The 19296-nt window shown below is 36.7% G+C and overlaps 1 protein-coding gene across 6 annotated transcripts in view; it reads right to left on the bottom strand.

Annotated features, from left to right (window-relative positions):
* Positions 1 to 17625, bottom strand: part of GLRB (glycine receptor beta) — a 95941-nt gene extending 78316 nt beyond the window's left edge. For 3 of the 6 annotated variants that reach the window (NM_000824.5, NM_001166061.2, XM_047450075.1), the window contains exons 1-2: positions 17478 to 17625; positions 15629 to 15779 (exon numbers count right to left, since the gene is read on the bottom strand). In NM_000824.5, coding sequence (NP_000815.1) covers positions 15629 to 15750 — 122 coding nt within the window. In that variant the 5' untranslated portion in view covers positions 15751 to 15779; positions 17478 to 17625. Of the gene's footprint in view, positions 1 to 9050; positions 9112 to 15628; positions 15780 to 17216; positions 17373 to 17477 lie in introns of those variants that run through there. The other 3 variants (NM_001166060.2, XM_017008035.3, NM_001440545.1) reach the window with 2 other exon arrangements.

The raw sequence follows: 19296 nt of genomic DNA, 5'->3' as shown, positions 1-19296 counted from the left end.
TTTTTTTTTTTTTTTTTTTTGAGATGGAGTCTCGCTCTGTCGCCCAGCCTGGAGTGCAGTGGCACGATCTCAGCTCACTGCAACCTCCGCCTCCCGGGTTCAAGCGATTCTTCTGCCTCAGCCTCCCAAGTAGCTGGGACTAAAGGCATGTGCCACCACGCCTAGCTGATTTTTGTATTTTTAGTAGAGACAGGGTTTCAGCATGTTGGCCAGGATGGTCTCGATCTCTTGACCTCGTGATCTCTTGATCTCGTGATCAGCCCACCTCAGCCTCCCAAAGTGCTGGGATTACAGGTGTGAGTCACTGCGCCTGGCCAGAACTATATATTTTATACTTCGCTTCTTTTTAGCCAAGTGTTTGTGATCTTATTAGATGAATACATATGCATACATACAGCATGGAAAGGAAATAAATCATATATTGTCTCCTGACTACAGTAGCTTAGGAATGGTTTCTTATTTACAAAATGTCCATTGACAGCTAACATCCAAATTATATACTATTAATCAAACTAAGGACTAGTTTTTAGGTGGTGGAACACACATCTATGAAAGGGAAGATTGTCAGATTGTGTGCTCAGAAAGTAGCATTCTATTATTTAGAAAGAACTTTAATAAACTTTAAATGTATGTAAAAGACCATAAGTAAACCCAATATGTTGCTTGAAAATGGCAAAGATATTCAAAGGCTAAGTGACAATCAAGAAGAAAAATGTGTTCCCACTGGAGAGGGTAATGACTAAACATAAATATAGTGGCAAGAACATTAATGAAAAAACTTGGAATGGGAAGCAGAAGACCGAAGTTTAACTGCCAAATCTGCCACTAGCTAGCGGTAGGCCATTAGGAAAGCCATTTTACTACCTTTTGTGACTACTGTTTTCGAGACTTCCAAATAAACAAGGAGGACTCTGATAGGTACAGTACAACTAAAGAGTTAGCTTCAAACAACCACCTGACTACTACTGACTGACTTTATGACCTTAAGAAAGCTATACAAACACTCTCCACATCCTACGTTCTTTATATATGAACGCTGAATGATGCTGCTTGCAGTACAGATTCATTGTGAAAAGTCGATGGCCTCCCATGTGACAAGCATCTGGCACTAACTCTCACATAAAGAAGTCATGCCACAGATGTTTTACCTATCCCAGACCTAACACTCTGAGTTTATGAGGAAAGCTATGTGTAATAAGGTGACCCAGATATTTTCCCCATAATTAGGTGTTCTATATTTAACTATTAGCTTAACTAATGGTCAAAAAAATAAAAACGAGACCAAGAGTAATAGTAAACATGCAAAACCACTTTGAACTCTTTAAAGAGGTTCTACTATCACAAACATAGGTAATCCAACTTGTAGAATATTACAGTTAGAAAATAATTTTACATATAATTCCAAATTATACTATCAGAGAAGCTGTGTGAATAGGTACAGATTCTTATTTCTGTTTTACAGATAAAGTCTTAGAGAAGCAAACTGATTGCTTATTCTAGGTCACAAATGTATTAAGTGATCTATTCTAAAGTAGAACCTATCTCTTTTTACTCAAAAATACCATTTCCATCTATTAAAAACCCCAGAATAAACTTTTATCTCAATTACCCTAAGAAATCACATTGTTAATGATTTTATCTTAAAGATCAGGACACTTATCCCAAAAAGAATTATCTGAGGATGCACTATTGGTCAGTAACAGTCAGCTAGAACACAAATCTCCTGAATTTTCAGTCCAATATTTTCTCCTCCATATTAATTCAACCAATTTCACCTTAAATTTATCATCATTGATTTTTTGTAGCATTTGATTTTGTATAGTGTTAATGGCAGGGAGTTCATAGAGTAGTTGACTTAGCTGGGACTAGAAGGATAAGGAGGGATGTAACAGATTAAGGGGGAAAGGACAGGACAAACCCTAGGAAGAAGTTAAAGAATAGACAACAGAATAGTGTCACGAAGAGATCAGGCTGCCCAGGAACACCAAGAAGTGCAGCATGGCAGGAGAAGATACTGGAAGTGCAGAGCAGAATTGAAAAGAGAAAAGGTGGGTCACAAGCAACGAAGTAAGTGATTGGATATACACTGAGCATCACTCACGTTGACACTATAGAGTAACAGCCCTCAAAGTGTGGTCCACAGCCACAGGCTCCTGAAGGTACCCAAAACACTTGCAGGGGGTCTGTGGACAACACTTTGAGGAGTGTTACCCAGTGTTACACATTCTGTTACTGTCCACAGAGTCAAAACTATTTTTATCATAGTAATAATAAAATGTTATTTACTTTTTTCCACTATGTTGACATTTGCACTGATGGTACCAAAGCAATGGTGGGAAAAACTGTTGGTGTTTTAGCACAAATCAAGAAAATAATACTTAAATGTACTCACAGCCATTGCATTCTTCAACATCATATAGTAGCAGAAAGAAAAAACAAGAATTTTAAAAGACAGTTTCCTAAGCAATGTTCCTTAAGAATTAATAAAAAATATTAATTTTATTAAATGTTGAAACTTAACATCTTTTTAATGTTGTATGACAAAATGGAGAGTACCCATAAATCATTGTGCTGCACGCCAAACTATTATAATCGTTTCAAAAACATTACCTGAAAATTACAAGTGTAGTTATATGTAGAGATAGAGTGATTGTTTGACTTACTAGACAGACTGAACTTAATAGATTTAATAGATAGATTGAACTATCTATTAATAGTTCCATGAAAAGCCATTTTCATGCAACACCATAGAAAAACTGTGGTAATTCAGATTTGAATATTTAGGAAAATATTTTTCAAAAGTGAATGAAGAGAACCTGTAACTTTGAGAAACACTACTCTATTTGTTGCCAGTGATAAAATATGAACTTCCAAACAAAAATTGGAATCTTAAAATTAATATTAGCCACCATGAGTTTGACAGCTTTCCAACACTCACAGACATTCCAATGAGATCATAAGTGATATTAGATAGATATGATTTTTTTGATGTTGTATAATAAAATATGTCAACATTTGGAAAAAATGCAAAACCCAGAGAATCAGTATTTTCCAAATGATGTTATAAAATCAATCACAATTGGACAAAAGAACCACTCAAAGTGCAAGACAGACTAGTTGATTTTACTGCAACAGAGGACAAAATGTTCAATGATCTGATTTCAGATTTCACATTGCACCTCTCTTGTAAGAAACTAGCACTGGTTAAATTTTGGCATGACATTAAAGAAGAATCTTCACAGTTACAAGGCCATTAAAATACTCTTCCCTTTTTCAATTTTATGTCTGCATGAAGTCATAATGTCTTCACGTACTTCAACCAAAACAATATATCACAACAAACTGAATGCAGAAGCAGATAAGAGAATCCTGCTGTCTTCCATTAAACCAGCCATTAAACTGATTTGCTACCGTTAAACAATGCCCCACTTTTCATTAATTTTTTTCTTTTTGAAAATGTAGTTTTCATAAAAATAAGTTATTCATGTTAATATCCGTACAGTTATTTTAAGTGATTTAATCTTTTAAATTTCTGTTTCAATTTGTAATAAGGTAATTTCAATAGTATAAGCCACATAAACTAAAGCTCTTTGTGTCCCTAAACATGCTCTAGGTTGTAGAGGGGACCTTAGACCAACAATTTGAGATCCACTGTTGTAGAGGATGAGCAAAGTAGAGAGGACAGGATCAGGTTCAGGAATCTAGGAAAGTACTGCAATAACAGATTCAAGGTGACATGACTATGGCCTGACAGAGACCATAAAAGCAGAGATGAGGAGAAGTAGCTAGATGCAATAATCATTTCTAAACCATCAACAGAATGAGTAATTGATGAGATGATGAAAGTGAAAGGGCATGAAGGATTTGAAGATGCTTTTGTCATTTCTCATGAAAGGCTGGGTGTAGAGCTGGGGAATACAGATAGGAAAGCCAGTTTAATATGTTGGGTATGTTAATTTTGAGGTCCAGTAGGAAGCTGAAAATAATTACTTGGAAATCAAGAGTGAAGTTACATATAGAGATAAAGATATAGAAGCAATCATAGATACCAATAGATATTACCCAGGGGAAAATTGATAAGCAAGAAGCTAAAAGAACTAAGGATGAATATCTGGAAAACTCAATATGTCAGGAAGGACAATAAGAAATAGCCAATGAAGGTGGTTAATCAGCTGTAGTCAGAGAGGTGGCTAAAAAGAGCCAGGAGTGAGTAAATTTCAGGAAGCCACATGTGGGATGGGTGAAATCGGAGATTGTTTCCGTTTACAGAAGATAGCTAGCCCTTACTGAGTAATAACAAGGACCTAAAATAAAGTCACTATATTTGTTTTAAAATAATAAAATTCGTATCTTCATTTACTTATTTCTTTGAAACAGGGTCTCCCTCTGTCGCCCAGGCTGGAGTGCAGTAGCATGATCGCAATAATGGCTCACTGCAACCTTGTCCTCCTGGACTCAGGTGATTCTCCCACCTCAGCCTCCCAAGCAGCTGGGATTACAGGTGTGTCCCCCCTCCCCCATGCTTGGCTAATTTTTTTTTAATGTTTTGTAGAGACAAGGTCTCACTATGTTGCCCATGCTTGTCCCGAACTCCTGGGCTCAAGTGATCCTCCCACTTTGGCTTCCTGAAGTATTGAGATTACAAGGGTGAGCCATGGCACCCAGCCGAAATCTTTATTAAAAGTAGAATTGTGTCAGGAGTCAGTCTTAATAGAATGATTAAGTGGTACATATTGTTTCATTTGTTGTAATAATGTTGCACATCTTTTGTAATTTAAGGAAATTCAAGGTAAGTGAAGAAAAGAACTAGTGAATTAGAGCTCAAAAAGTATAGGCCATTTTATCCTACTAGTTGAAGAAACATAGTAATTAACAAAGGGGAAAACCACAGTTAATAAAATAGGAATATAAAAACTATATACATTTTTCCAGGTGGGTGACCCTTTAATATGTTTGTAAGCACTTAGGAAAAAAAGAGCCAAAGAAACGAAGAAAATTTAAAACATAGGGGAGCAAAGTAAGCTAAAAGGTACATCTCAGAAGACAGTGGGGAGATGGGATCCTAAAAAAGTTCTTTTTTTGCTAAATCAAGAGAAAAGGAGAAAAGGAAGGATGATGCCTCAGGTAGCTTTAGAATGAAAATCAAGAAAGACCGAGGGGATTCCCATCCAAGGACTTGTATTCTTTTCCTTTAAAATAAAAGTTAAAATGTTATGCTAACACTGAAAGGAACAAGATAAAAGACAGAAACAATGTGGAGAGAGAAATTTAGAGCCTCTGAGGGGTAAGGAAAAGAATTTGGAACCAAAATGAAGACTTAGCCAAGACTAGATCAAAATAAATCAACCAAGATTCTAGATCACTGAAAACATCTACATTTGTACCATTAAGTCGAAAATATTATAGAGATTCCAGACACATACAAGTAGAATGTATAGAGAATATTAAAGAATGTTGCAATAAGACCTTTAGATTATTTTGTCAGCCATGCCCATGGTATCACTGAGAGTTAAACATGATATAAAGAACACCACACATCCACTCATTAATAGGTAAGCCTTTTGTATTAGGTTATTCTCAGCAATCAGCCCAGGAGCAGTAAACTCCTACTATTGTTTTCTTATACGAAGAGTAATAAATGTCAGATGTTTCAAGGTATCCAACATATTTTATTAGCAATTTAATAAGTGCTTCACTGTTATTCCAATCAGAGCCCTAAAAATATTATTTCATATTTACATCATTTCTCAGAGGAACCATTTGTATGTACATAAATTTGAATAATTGGCTTCATGAATTCTAAGTGTAAACTTCCATAAAATACCCATGGTAAAGGAATTCATTTATAAAGGGACCTCAGCTCTCTTTAGCAGAGCAATGATATGTCTATTTCAGGTAGAAGCATAAGGAAAATATAGGAGACTTTTGCAAATATACCTTTTTTTACTGTATTACAGAAATTATTTGCCTCCACAAGAAAAAAAAAAGGATACATTTCAGTAAGTCGAATTCCTTAATCTGTGAAAATTTGGTAGGCTAAGAATGCAGACAATTCACCTTCCTCATACCTTACTCTTCTACTTTGGAGTTCAGTTAAATACCTATGTTTTGATAAATCAACTCTGGAATTAGATTTCCTTTGGAGTTAACTTCCCCAAGAAATAGAATTTTGTGTATTCTTTTTCCACTGGTCAGGCTTGAATGGTTAAAAATTGGGGAACAAAAAGCACCAACAAAACACTAAAATAGTTAACCCTGATTATAAAGTTACCAAAGCAATCGTAAACAAAACCGCATTGTATCATAAAAGATATGGCTGCCATAAATTAATGAATGAATAAAATTAGGAGATTATTGAGATCAAACTTTTCACTATACAAATGAGAAAACTGAGACTCAGATAGATTAAGTGACTTATTGAAAGTTATACAGCCAATTAGCAAAAGTGCTAAAGGAGATACAGTGGTGTTCTTTCTGCTATCTTATTATACAAGGTCTTTGCCATCATGATTTAGTAGACGTACAAAGTAAATTTTAAACAATATATGTTTTATCTCTAAACATCTAAATACAGTCCCAGTGAACCACTATCCCATCAAAAAATTAATTTAGGATTTGTCTATATCATCAGCTATCCATTTAATTTTCTTTGAACTAGCAAGCATAAATGGAGCTCTTATGCAAACAATTTTGAAGTAGGGCAGGATATAAAAGTATATATAACCATTTCATCTCAAGTACTTAAAATGTAGTTAGAGAGTTAAAACTACACAATAGAGTCCAACTAGAAAATAAAAGACATCACTGCATAAAGAACTAATTCTAATCAAGTGTCAAAACATCAAGTATGCACAAAAGGGATTCTGAAATATCAAGAACAGGGAGTTTAATTTCAGTTTTAATCATAGGCCCATGAGATCTTGGGCATAAAAAGAAGTTCTAAATACTTTTAACTTCCCATTGATGTTATTTGGGTCGTGTCCCTACCCAAGCTATGTTCAGTCACTCCAGCAACAAAGAAGCTCCTAAGGAAACCCATTTTCTCTTTTGACAGTTCTATATTTTCCTTTAATTGAACTTATCTTCCTCTGTTTCTCTCTTTGGTCTTAATTCGATAACTTGGAGTCATACAAAGAAAGTCTAGTTATTTTATATGACAACATCTCAAATAGAAGGTAATTTCTATTCTTCAGAGAAAATAATGCACAATAGAATTAATCGAACAACACAACAGACTTTCACATTCGTGTAAATACCGATCAAGATTCTCCAAACAAACTCACATGTAATTCTAACTCTCATAAATTATGGCAACCAGAATTCAACATAATGCTTCAGGTAATATACTCACCATGAGATTAATACTTTTTTATTTCTAAACATTGTATTTCTATCAATATCCAAGACATCAAAGCATTAGTAAGCCACACCACTATTAATTCAGATTAATCATATTCTCAACTAAAACTTATTTTAAATGTTTTATAAAGCAAAGTAATATCTAAGATGAGCTCTGAGGGACTAGTAAAGCCTAGATATATTAAGCAAGAAGTTGTCATTCCAAACATAAACATGTCCAAGCATACATAATAGCAAGGGAAGATTAGGAACAACGGCAGATAAGCCTTCCCAAAATAGGCGAGTAGGCTTGGGTATGGCTGATACCTGTAACGCGAAGTCTTTGGGAGAACAAGGCGGGAGGACCACTTGACACCAGGAGTTTGAGGTTGCAATGAGCTATGATCACACCACTGAACTCCAGCCTGGGCAACAGAGTAAGATCCTGTCTCTAAAAACATACATTCATATATACATACCTACACACATAATATAAGAGAGTTGTTTCACATAAATTTAGAAATATAAGTTAGGGAGCCCCTTGAAAATCAAGGTAAGAAGTATGTACTGGAGTTCAAGAACCATCTGGTAGTACGATATTGTAAGTTTTTAAACATAAGAATAACAACATGAAAATACAGGCCAGGCACGGTGGCTCACGCCTGTAATTCCAACACTTTGGGAGGCCGAGGTGGGTGGATCACGAGGTCAGGAGATCGAGACCATCCTGGCTAACACAGTGAAACCCCATCTCTACTGAAAACACAAAAAAATTGGCAGGGTGTGGTGGCACGCACCTGTAGTCCCAGCTACTCGGGAGGCTGAGGCAGGAGAATCACTTGAACCCAGGAGGCGGAGGTTGCAGTGAGGCGAGATCATGCCATTGCACTCCAGCCTGGCTAACAGAGTGAGATTCCATCTCCAAAAAAAAGATGAAAATACAGATGGCATGTTAAGATGGATAATAATGATAGAAAAGCTAGGGTGAATAACTAGGAAGATATAGTAACACATACGTTAAAAATAATGGTGGCTGGGCATGGTGGCTCATGCCTGGAATCTCTGTACTTTAGGAGGCCAAGGCAGGAGGATTGCTGGAGGCCAAGAGTTGGAGGCGGCAGTTAGCTATGATCACAACACCACACTCCAGCCTGGATGACAGAATTAGATCCTGTCTCCAAAGAGGAAAATAAAATAATGGTAAGAGCAGATGTAGTGAAAAAAAAATTGAACATGGCAGATATAGGAGATCATTTTAAGAGAATGTTAGGTTCCATTTAAGCTCATGCCTAGGTAACTGGAATAATAAGGATGCTGATTTCCTTTTGGAAAAAGAAGATCAATTCAATTGATTGCAAAATAACAGCATGCCATTAAAATTGTTCAATAAGTAATAAGAAAATACATAACTAAACATCAGTGAAAAATTCAATCTAGATATGTAACAGTGATAACAGGCAATTTTCAATAGTATCCATTTTATAGATTATCCATATCCTTTTCCAATCAGCCTTTCATCTTTTGGCCAATGTCTTTGTCTCGAATATTTCCACTAGGAAGTAAGAAACTGGAATTATACTAAAATCTATTTCATCTCTTAATGAATAGAAGATAAAGGAGACAAAACAGTCAGAATAGGAAGATGGCTAATATAATACCCAAGCAGCATATAGTGGCATTGAATAATCAATGAATAATCAACAGTAACCTACCCTTCTTAGTACATACAGACTGAAGTATGAAAATGCTGTCATTCAATGGTACAATCTCTCTCTGAAGGAGACAAAAAAAATCATAACGGCATCAAACCATTTACATATGCACACACAATTTTTAGTTTATGAAAAAACTAACAAAGAAATCACATTTTCTCAACACACACACAGAACGAGAATAAAAATTAAAAGTTATTTATGTAATTATTTTAAAGCTAGAGTTCCAACAGCTTGAAGGAAAGATAATTTAGAAGGTAGGATAATAAATGCTAACACTACTGTAAATAATAGCAGCCCTCAACACTTAAGGACTTGTTATTAAGCTTCCCAGACCTAAGATACAAGTATGGGCCAAAATGGGAGAAAAGAGGTGAGATTTCCAATGCAACTTTCAAACATATTAGTTTCACTTACTGTAAGCTATTAAATGTTTGAAACTCAAACAGTCTTCAACAAAAGATAGAAGTTTCTCTAACGGTAGTGGCAAAAATATGTAGTATGTGACAAGGAGTTGTATAGCTTGGCCAAATTCACTATTAAAAAGTGCTTATTATGTCGGCTATGAGCAAAAATAGAAATGGCAAACAATATTCAGTTTTATTTTTAATTGAGGGAGTTCTGGTTTTTTAATTACTGTTATTCAATAAAAAAATCTGAAAGTTTATTTTAGGATGTTCTAGTTTCATATATGATGTACCTACAAATATAAATCCATAAAACTATGCCTTATAAATTATGGCAGGCATTTATTAGATCATTATATTTGTTATCCTGTTCATTTGTTATCCTGATCATTATTTCTTGAAAATTATAGTAGCTTGACATATTTCTTCTTACTATTACACCTAAGGTCAGAAAAGAGAAAAGTTTTTCTGGGTTTGAAAGAAGTGTTTTAAAAAACATTATTCATGAAATTTCAAACCTTAAAAATAAGATTTTAAAATCCTTATTATTAACACACCACCAACATACATTTATCTTATGTACTAGAGCTTTCTAAGTCAATTCCCCTAAAATAAAGACATACTTAAATAAACAGATCAAGATAAAATTTTTAAAACATAATTCTCTGTGGGTTACTTTGCTATTAGATAATGATAAAGCTGTAATCAAACACAATGTATTAGAACCACTGAATCTTAAAAATTGCACAAGTTGAAATCACATTATATCAGTCTCTGGTCTAACCGCCTGTGTAATGCTCAACCTTTCTCTAAAATATGCCCACCAAGTAATTATCCCACGTGCCTGCGTACCTCCACTTATCATGAACTTCACTACCTCCCTCCCTAATCAATTACATCTAGGCAGAACTCAAAAAAGTTCTTAACTTGGAGCCAAAAATATCCCTCCCCGTAGCTTCTATACATTAGTACTGCTTTTAATTATTGGTGCCAAGCAACAAAGTCTACTTTCTCATCACCATCACAGTTTTTTAAAACTTTGGAGACAATTTTCAAGTATCTCAGTTCCTTCAGCTCTTCCTAATATGATATGATTTTAATTACTTCTACTATTCTTATTTCTCTCTCCTGCAAATATTTCTGCACTAGCACAGAGCAGAAATCTCTGTAAACCTTGCTTTAAATAGTTCTAAAAAGTAATACGCTTAACATAAAATTAGCAAAATAGTTTTACTATTAAAATAGTTCTTATTTTACTAATTTTATGTTAAGAATGTGTTAATTTTAAGAATGTCTTTCTTAAAATACTAAATTGTAAGTATGTGTGTATATATATATATATATATATATATAAAACACTATTCATTTGTCTGATAATTATTATGTAATATTTTTCCCAAATGTGCTCTGCTAAGCTATGTTCTTCCTCATCCTATACTTACCCAAGTGGCTTCTAGACCAAAGTGCAATTTATTCTTCAACAGTGTTAGACCTATCTCATTTAGCCCTTCAAGATCAGATCGGATCCTAATTCTGTCTCACATATTCACTACATATCTGAATATCACAGAGCCTCAGTGTGGATTTTTTCTCTGTGTAGTTTTATTTCAGTCATTGACAAATAATTGACTATGATGAGGCCAAAACGGAACCAGGTAACATAATCCAGGGTGAAGGTATTCCACTAATTACCTAGCTGCTAACTCACCTAGGTATCCTTATATTGAGACCATATTTCTAAATTTTCCACAGGGATCATATCAGTCAATTTCAGGTAACTTAACAAAATCCAGATGTAATGACTTAATAAGAGATAGTCAAAGATCTTTAGGTTTTTATTCACTTCATTAAATAAATTTTTATTATATGTATATTTTGTGCCAGGAGCTATGTTGCTTGCTGGTGATTAAGGTAATGAAGACACTGCTCTCATGGAGCTTACAATCTAGTGGGGAAAGCAGACAATTACAATAGATAATTATCATACTGTATTATGTATGAGTGGCAATTGGGGAACTGTGGGGGCACAGAATGTGATTATCTAAATCCTCAGGATTAGGAAAGGTTTCCCAAAGAAGACAATAGGGTTTGAGTCTGAGTTAAGTTTGAGGTCATTATGAAACAATCAGATTAAAATGTTGGATGTATGGGTGTGGTGCTCTTCAAAGAGGTACGGGCTGTATACACAGACATAGAAATCAACAGTAAGTGGTAGTTACAGCCATGAATTTGGATGAGACCCATGGACACAGGCTAACTAAAAAGAAGAAAAACATTGGCATTTCAGGGAAAGGGAAGAACACTTGCAGAGATGTGAAAGAGCACGGGTATATGAGAGTTGATGCGTGTGAGGCTTAGGCAGAGGCAGGGGTCGGGATGGGGAAGATACTGCTGGAGGTATCAGAGGCTAGTTCATCAGGAACCTTGTGTGTGGAGCCAAGAAATTTCCACCTTATCCAGAACACTATGGTGTCCTTTAAAGTGTTCTCAATATTGACATGACCTGACTGGACTCAAGACACTATTGGGAAAATACACGGTAAGGTCAATGTGGCATATAAATTAATGGAGGAGGATAAGATGCAGGAAAACTGAAAAGGAGTCAATGAAGAGGGTGGGAAGGAGTAGCTAAGGCAATGTCCCACATGGGAATGAAAACGTAAGACGTATTCCAGTGATAGTAATTGATGAGTTCTGGTGACTACTGAATTTGAGAAGCTAAGGTAGAAAGAGATGGTCTAAGGTGATCCCCAGGATTGTAGTATGAATGAAAAGGTGGAAATGGTGTCATCTGGTGAGAAGAGGAGTTCACCACTCTTAATACAGTGATTATTCATTGTATTATTCACATGATTCTGAGTTCAGGTTTTATCATTTCAAGTTAAATTTGAGTTTCATGACGGGACGGTCAAGTTGAAATGGTGGATGTATGGGTGTGGCACTCTTTAGAGAGATCTGAGCTGTACATAAAGACTTAGGAGTTAACAGTGAGTAGATGGTAACTACAACCATGGATTTCTACAAAATCACTCAGGTAGAATGAAAAATCAGAGGAAAGACCAAAAGATTAAAGGCAATGTCAAATGTAAGCTGTAAAATAAAAAGGTAACTGTCCAAGGACTTACCTAAAATATTTTTATTAATTTAAAGTGTATTTCTTATTTGTTAACACATATTAAATTTCTAAGTTTTTGGAAGCAAATTTATCAGATACTTTGTCAATCTGGTACTAGTGCTTCACTTACATATCAAAAGACAACAGGTTAGAAAAAAGAAACAGCAAAGAGGCCAAGAAAAGTTTATGATCTGACTCAAGCTCAGCATCAATATTAAATCCTAGAATATCAAGGAACTCAAGTCCTTTATTTCTCCTACATTTTAAAACATGTTTCCTCTATTTACAGTCTTGAGGGGAAATGTTGTTATAACAGTAAAACTGGAAGATTTCACTCTGGATTGCTGCACATGAACTGCTTATGTCTATGCACCCACATTGCTTCATCCACTCTACTCAAAAAAAAAAAAGTATAAACAAATGAAAACATCACTGGGCAAGAATTTTACCATCCTGAGGAGTATTAGGGTAGTCTGTACTTGATTTCTGGGTTTTGTAATTTTCAATATTCCTCTTAGTCAAGATGTTTAATAAATAAGCAACTTACACAGGCTAAGCAAACTGGATCATTCTCTGAGATACATACAATTTGCATATTCTTTCACAGCCCCTTATTATAGCTCAAATTCTTAATCAAGGCATCTGAAATAAATTTGATATGATAGATCCAATCACAGTCAGGGACAACCCTAGTCTTCTAAAGTTCTTAATTCAGTGACAATCAGAATTCTTAATAAAATGCTCAAATGAAAAATATACAACTCTAACTCTCCAAGGTACATCCACTTTTTAACAAGCCAGACTTCCAGCAGCATCACATCACAACTGTTAATAAAGCTTGATCTAGTCTCATAATTATTTTTAAAAAACCTATAATGTAAAAATTCAAAGATAAAATTTCAATTAATTACTCAACATATCTAAAATATTGAGATGTGGGCTTAACAGGTATATGTTGGGTCTTCCACTTGAAGATGTCATATTCATCAGAAGAGAACTCTTATTGTTATACTCTTTATCTACTAAATTTAACTTTGAAAATCTGTCTTAAATAACTATACACACCGTAAGTATATACAGTCTACACATAAGGCTATTTAATAATGTAGTTGTGAAAAGAGAATGTCCTCTAAAATACTCTCGTAATATATATGGTAGTTATAAGATTTGCTGTTGCCATCTTCAGAATAATTTGATTATGACATTTGATGTAGGATGGGGGGTGGGTGTACTGGGAGAACAGGAGCCTTATCAGCTTGCTCAGATACAGAAACCCAAGATGGCTTGATTCCATACATAGAATTACGGTGACTATATGACATAGACAACAGTTTGTGTTAATGTCCCAACATTCATCAAAGAAAAGGTAATAGAAAGAATATCTAAAACACAAAGAAGTGTCCTTTCGCTTAGGAATACTAAGGCCTGACAATGTCCAGTTCCCTAAAATGCTAATCTCCAGCTTGTGGCACAAAAACAGTAACAGTGAAGAGTTGAGATGGTTGTAGATTGTGGTTATTCCTGAACCTGCCTCCATTGTTCCCAGCTGATATCCAGCTGGGCAGATGGCCAAGGAGGGACACACAAACATAATTCAGGGCCATTGTGTCATATACCCAGAAATTTGGCCCTGACATCAGAATATGCTGCAGCACTAGAATAAGCAGGACTATTAAGGGTGAAAATCAGGAAATATCCCTTCACATGGAGCTGAATTTAATGCTAGACATTACGTGGATCATGATACTCTCTCCAGAATTTTACTCTCACAAATTCATACAAACACCTATTACAAAATACCAATTCTAGTGTCCTTTCTTTACAAAATATACTTCCCAAAATGTACCTCATCTCTTATGGAACATCTGTAAAACCATAATAATCTCTATTTAAATAATAATGATGCTGGAATAAAATGTTATCTATGATCAATATTACATTTGAGAAATATTAATTGAAGATGACCTGTAATAGAAAATTAACTTTTATTCCAAATCACTGCATATATTGCATTATTACCTAAAAGCACGTTATATTTTGAGAAAGTTGTTTACTTATATACTGTACAATTGCTCTATTTTACTTTCATTGACCAGTAATGTTAATCTTTCCTATTAAAAAAAAGACTTGGCCAGGTGCGGTGAACCACGCCTGTAATCCCAGCACTTTGGGATGCCAAGGCGAGCAGATCACCCAGGGTCAGGAGTTGGAGACCAGACAGGTCAACATGGTGAAATCCTGTCTCTACTAAAAAATACAAAAATTAGCTGGGCGTGGTGGTGGGCACCTGTAATCCCAGCTACTTGGGAGGCTGAGGCAGGAGAATTGCTTGAACCCGGGAGGTAGAGGTTGCAGTGAGTAGATAATTGTGCCACTGCACTCCAGCCTGGGTGACAGAAAGAGACTTCATCTAAAAAAAATAAACAAGACTCCACACCACAAAACTTTGTCTTTTGTGGGGGATGTGTTGGATTTAGAATTTGTGTTTTCAAGTAATTTCAAATTTAATGACCTGCTTTCTACAAAATATCCTAATCTCCTAATATAACCTATTTACAATTACTAAATTAGAAAATTGATCTATCATATGAATTTCCTTTTGCCATGCATACATATGAACTGACCTTAAGATCACAGTTACCTATCTGACTTTTAAATAAAATATTATTAAATATTTTAGGGTTTTTTTAAAAAAAAACTTTTTGAACTGGTATTTGCTCAAAACACAGTATATCAGTATCCAATTAAAGTTGCACAGCACATTTAGCATAAGAAAAAAATAGTGACTTTTTCTACTTTTGTAAACAGTGTATAAAAATTATATAAACCCATGGCATGATTTAAAAAAAGAAAACTATAAAACCACCTTGAACATTGGGAATTAATTCTTACATTCTAAACCTCTCCTCACCCTATCATTTTCTGTCTCTGTAACAGATGGATATACATTCCGATATGAAAAGTTTTGTTGATGTGTGTCTTCATAAACCACCTTACTTTTATAAAACACGCAATAACATTTCTCCATATAAGAATATAAGACATGAAGAACATACGATGGGCATAGATACTGCTTCTTTTTCCCCTTCCCTTTCTTTGAAGACTTTTCCTTAGAATAGGCTTCTTCCACCCACAAGGAAATTAAAATTAAAAAGGCAGTTGTCAATAAAAACTTCATCTTGAAAACTTGAATTTCAGAAGATCGATCTACAAGAGAGAACAAGAAAATGTTTACATTTATGAAGAAAATGATAACTATATGACTGTCCCTTTAAAGAGTATAAGCATTACTACCCAAAGGGCAAGTACATTTGTACATCAAATCCTCATTGCTCAGTCCTATGTGGTAATACTTCACAACATATTTAGTATTTTTTATATAGTAGTTGTAAAGTCTTTTTTATATAGCAGTAAAAGTCAGTTTAAATAATGGCACATAGAAAACAAGACCGCCAACGAGATATAATAGGTTACTGTATAAAATTTCTGATTCTATAGCTACACAAAATTATAAATTGATATTGAATTGCACAGTATATCAAAAATATGTTCAGAAAGATATCTGGAAGCATGGTTTAACACAGCGTTAAAATGATTATCTTCGGCTAGTACTTTGGAAGTATCTTTTTCTTTTTAAATTTTTATATTGTTTGAAGTTCTTATGTATATTTTTTCAAAAATAATGTATTTTAAAGAAAAAGAAATTCTAAGTATTAAAAAAGACAGATAAAAGAAAAAGTTAATATCAAAGAGTTCCACATTCAAAATTCATTGCTTTTTTTATTTAAACACATTACATTGGCAAGCTACCTTTTTGCCCCAAAAAGGTGCCTCTTAAGTTAGCTTTAAAGCTTTCTTACTTATTTGCTACTAACATTTGTCATCAAAAAGATTACTTCAGAAATTCTACAACAAGAAATAAAACAAGTGTTGTTACATTTTTTTCAAATTATCGTCCTAGCCATATTTTAATAACATTTTCATGCTCAAATCAGAACCATATTCTTGCCAGAGATTCTGATAAATAAAAAATAATTAAGCCTCTACCTACACTAGAGAAGTTCAAACTCTTCTGCAACCTTCATTTCCAAACCATAAATTGTTTCTCTTTCATTGTTTTCCGCAGAGTAAAAGACCTGTCATATTCTTCAACGCTAACTTAATTCCCATCTCACCCTCAGAAATTTGCTTCTCCTTATGTCATGTTTTTCATCTTCCCCCCCCCCCCCCAGGATTCTTCCCCCCATATTTATCTTTTACACACACTCCAGGCAAGCCAGAGGGGCTTCTCCCTGGGTACTTTAAATTGAAGACAACAGAGGGGGCTCATCAGACCAACAGCAACAACACAAGGTTCTCCTCTGGCAACTTCACAACATTGGACGCTCCCTTCCCCCATCCGACAGCGGCACCTGCTTCCAGACACCTTGCCCACAGCAGCAGGTACTTCTCCCACTTTCACATCCTTGCCCCCGCAAAAAGGAGGGCCGAGCCCCCCTAACGCTTCGAAAAACAGAGAAATTCACCACTCTGCTCTGTCCTCACCCCCAATCTTTCAAGGGGGACAGCTGCATTGACTGGAGGATCCTCATAAACAAAACAACGCAAGGAGCCCTCCTGGCCAACCTTGCGTTTCCTAATTACCCCGGCCCTCTGCATCTCTCCACCCGGAGCGTCTCCGCGGGCGCCACCGCAGCGGGGACCCGGCTGCCGCTGCCAGGCGCCCCGCGCCCCTCTCCCGCGCAGGGCAGCGCGCGTCCTCCCGGGCACGCCGCAGTGCTCCTCGCGCTCCGCCGCCCCGGGCTTGACCCGCTGTTTCCGCAAAGGCGTCTATTCCCGTCCTCAGACCACCGTCGCCGCCCCAACCCGCGTCCCCTCCTCCTAAGTGGAGCTCCTGGCACTTACCCGGAGGCGCCCCTGCCCACAATCGCCGGGCGAGATCGTGGAGGCTCCGGGCCCAGGTGGCAGTGGCTGCTAAGGGTGCAGCGGGCGCCGAGCGGGGGCAGCTGCGTCCCAGCCGCCCGCGCCACCGCCGAGCTCGGCTGACGCGCCTGCTCGGGCCGCGGAGCCTGCGCCGTGGCGCGCCGCGGTCGGGGCCGCAGCGGGGACAGCGCGGGCCGCGGGGGAACCTGGCGACCGCGGGCGGGGGAGGGAAGAGGTGTCCCGACAGAGCAACGTCACGGCATCGTCCCCTTCAGGCATTGGAGGGGTTACCGAGCAGAAATGTGTACCCCCCTCACTCCTTAGGGGACTAAAGGAGTTGGGGACGAAGGGCGGGAATGATAGTGTCGGTACAAAAAGAAAAAACCTTTCAAGGAGCTGGGATTGCTTGGGGTCAGCTTTTGACCACTAGCAACAAACAACAGAGCAACAAATGACCTTCTTGGGTCAAAGCGAACAAAACACATTTTCTGTCATTTCACCATTTGCCTGGAACCCAGACATCCAGCTTAATCTCCGGGTCTTCCAATTTCTAAAAGCCTGAACTTTCTGAGCAAGCTTAAATTGGTCAAAATTACTGACAATATAGTCATACAGGTAATACTATGTTTAACATCTGTTACATAATTAACATGTGTACAGAACTTGACAGTTGCAAAACACCTTTCACTCGCCTTATCTCATGTGGCCCTCACCACATTCCTGGGCAAGTTTTGTCATCCCCTTCTGTAGATGAAGAATCTGAAACTCAGTTATATTAAGAGATTTACTTAGAGTTACAGATCTTGAAAGAAATTTACCAGAGATTCAAAATTAGTGATTTTTGCATATCTGAACCAGACAGGGTCTCTGCCTTATAAGAGCAAAATACTGTTGTCCTCATCCTTGTGAAGAAGTAGCCCTTACTTGGATATGCAGCCCTTAGATAACAGATAAGGCTATCCTATTACCTCTTGAATGTATGCCTGATTGATTTTTTTTAATTGTTATTTTTTAAGCAACAGGAGCTCACTTTGTTGCCCAGGCTGGAGTGCAGAGGCACAGTCATCGCTCACCGCAGTCTTGAACTTCTGGGCAATCAAGAGATCCTCTTGTCTCGGTCTCCCTAGTAGAGTAGCTGGAACAACAGACAGGCCATTGCGCTCCACTAATTATTATTATTATTTTTTAAGAGACAGCATCTCTGGCTTTGTTGTCCAGGATGGTCTCCAACTCTGGCCTGAAGCCATCCGCCTGCCTTAGCCTCCCAAGCTGGGGGGCTTACAGGCTTGAGCCACCCCACCCCACTGCACCAGGTCCTGATGGATTTTTTTTATTAAAAAAGCATTGTCTCAAGTGAGCATCACTTAGCATTGTATTGTGGACCCACAGATGTATCCACTAATAAATTTTTCCACCCGCAGCATATGGAGGGAAGGAATATTTCCTGCATATAACCGTGTTCCATAAGCTTCATGAGATATTCTGCTGCCTAAGAGTAGTGATCATTAATAAGTGATCATTACCTTATTTACATTACAAAATGATCATTATTCAAAGAGCTGTACTGTTTGAAGACCCCCCCGCCAAAGTGGATCAGGATATAACTTTGGATTTTAATGCTTTATTAGAGAGAACTATATTGATAATATACGTTTCATAAGATATAACTTTTGGTGAATAGGTCATATGAAGAATGATAAAGGAATTAGTTTTCATGCAGCCAGGGGAGTTTAGAAGTTGGCGAAAACCTTACACTTAGTTTTCAATTAATCAAGAAATTATTAAGAGTTTAGAATAATAG

This window comes from Homo sapiens, chromosome 4 (assembly GCF_000001405.40).
Source record: "Homo sapiens chromosome 4, GRCh38.p14 Primary Assembly".
NCBI classification, from domain to species: Eukaryota; Metazoa; Chordata; class Mammalia; order Primates; family Hominidae; genus Homo; species Homo sapiens.
The sequence above is the reverse complement of the archived record's forward strand: the minus strand, read 5'-3'. Positions and strand labels throughout refer to the sequence as shown.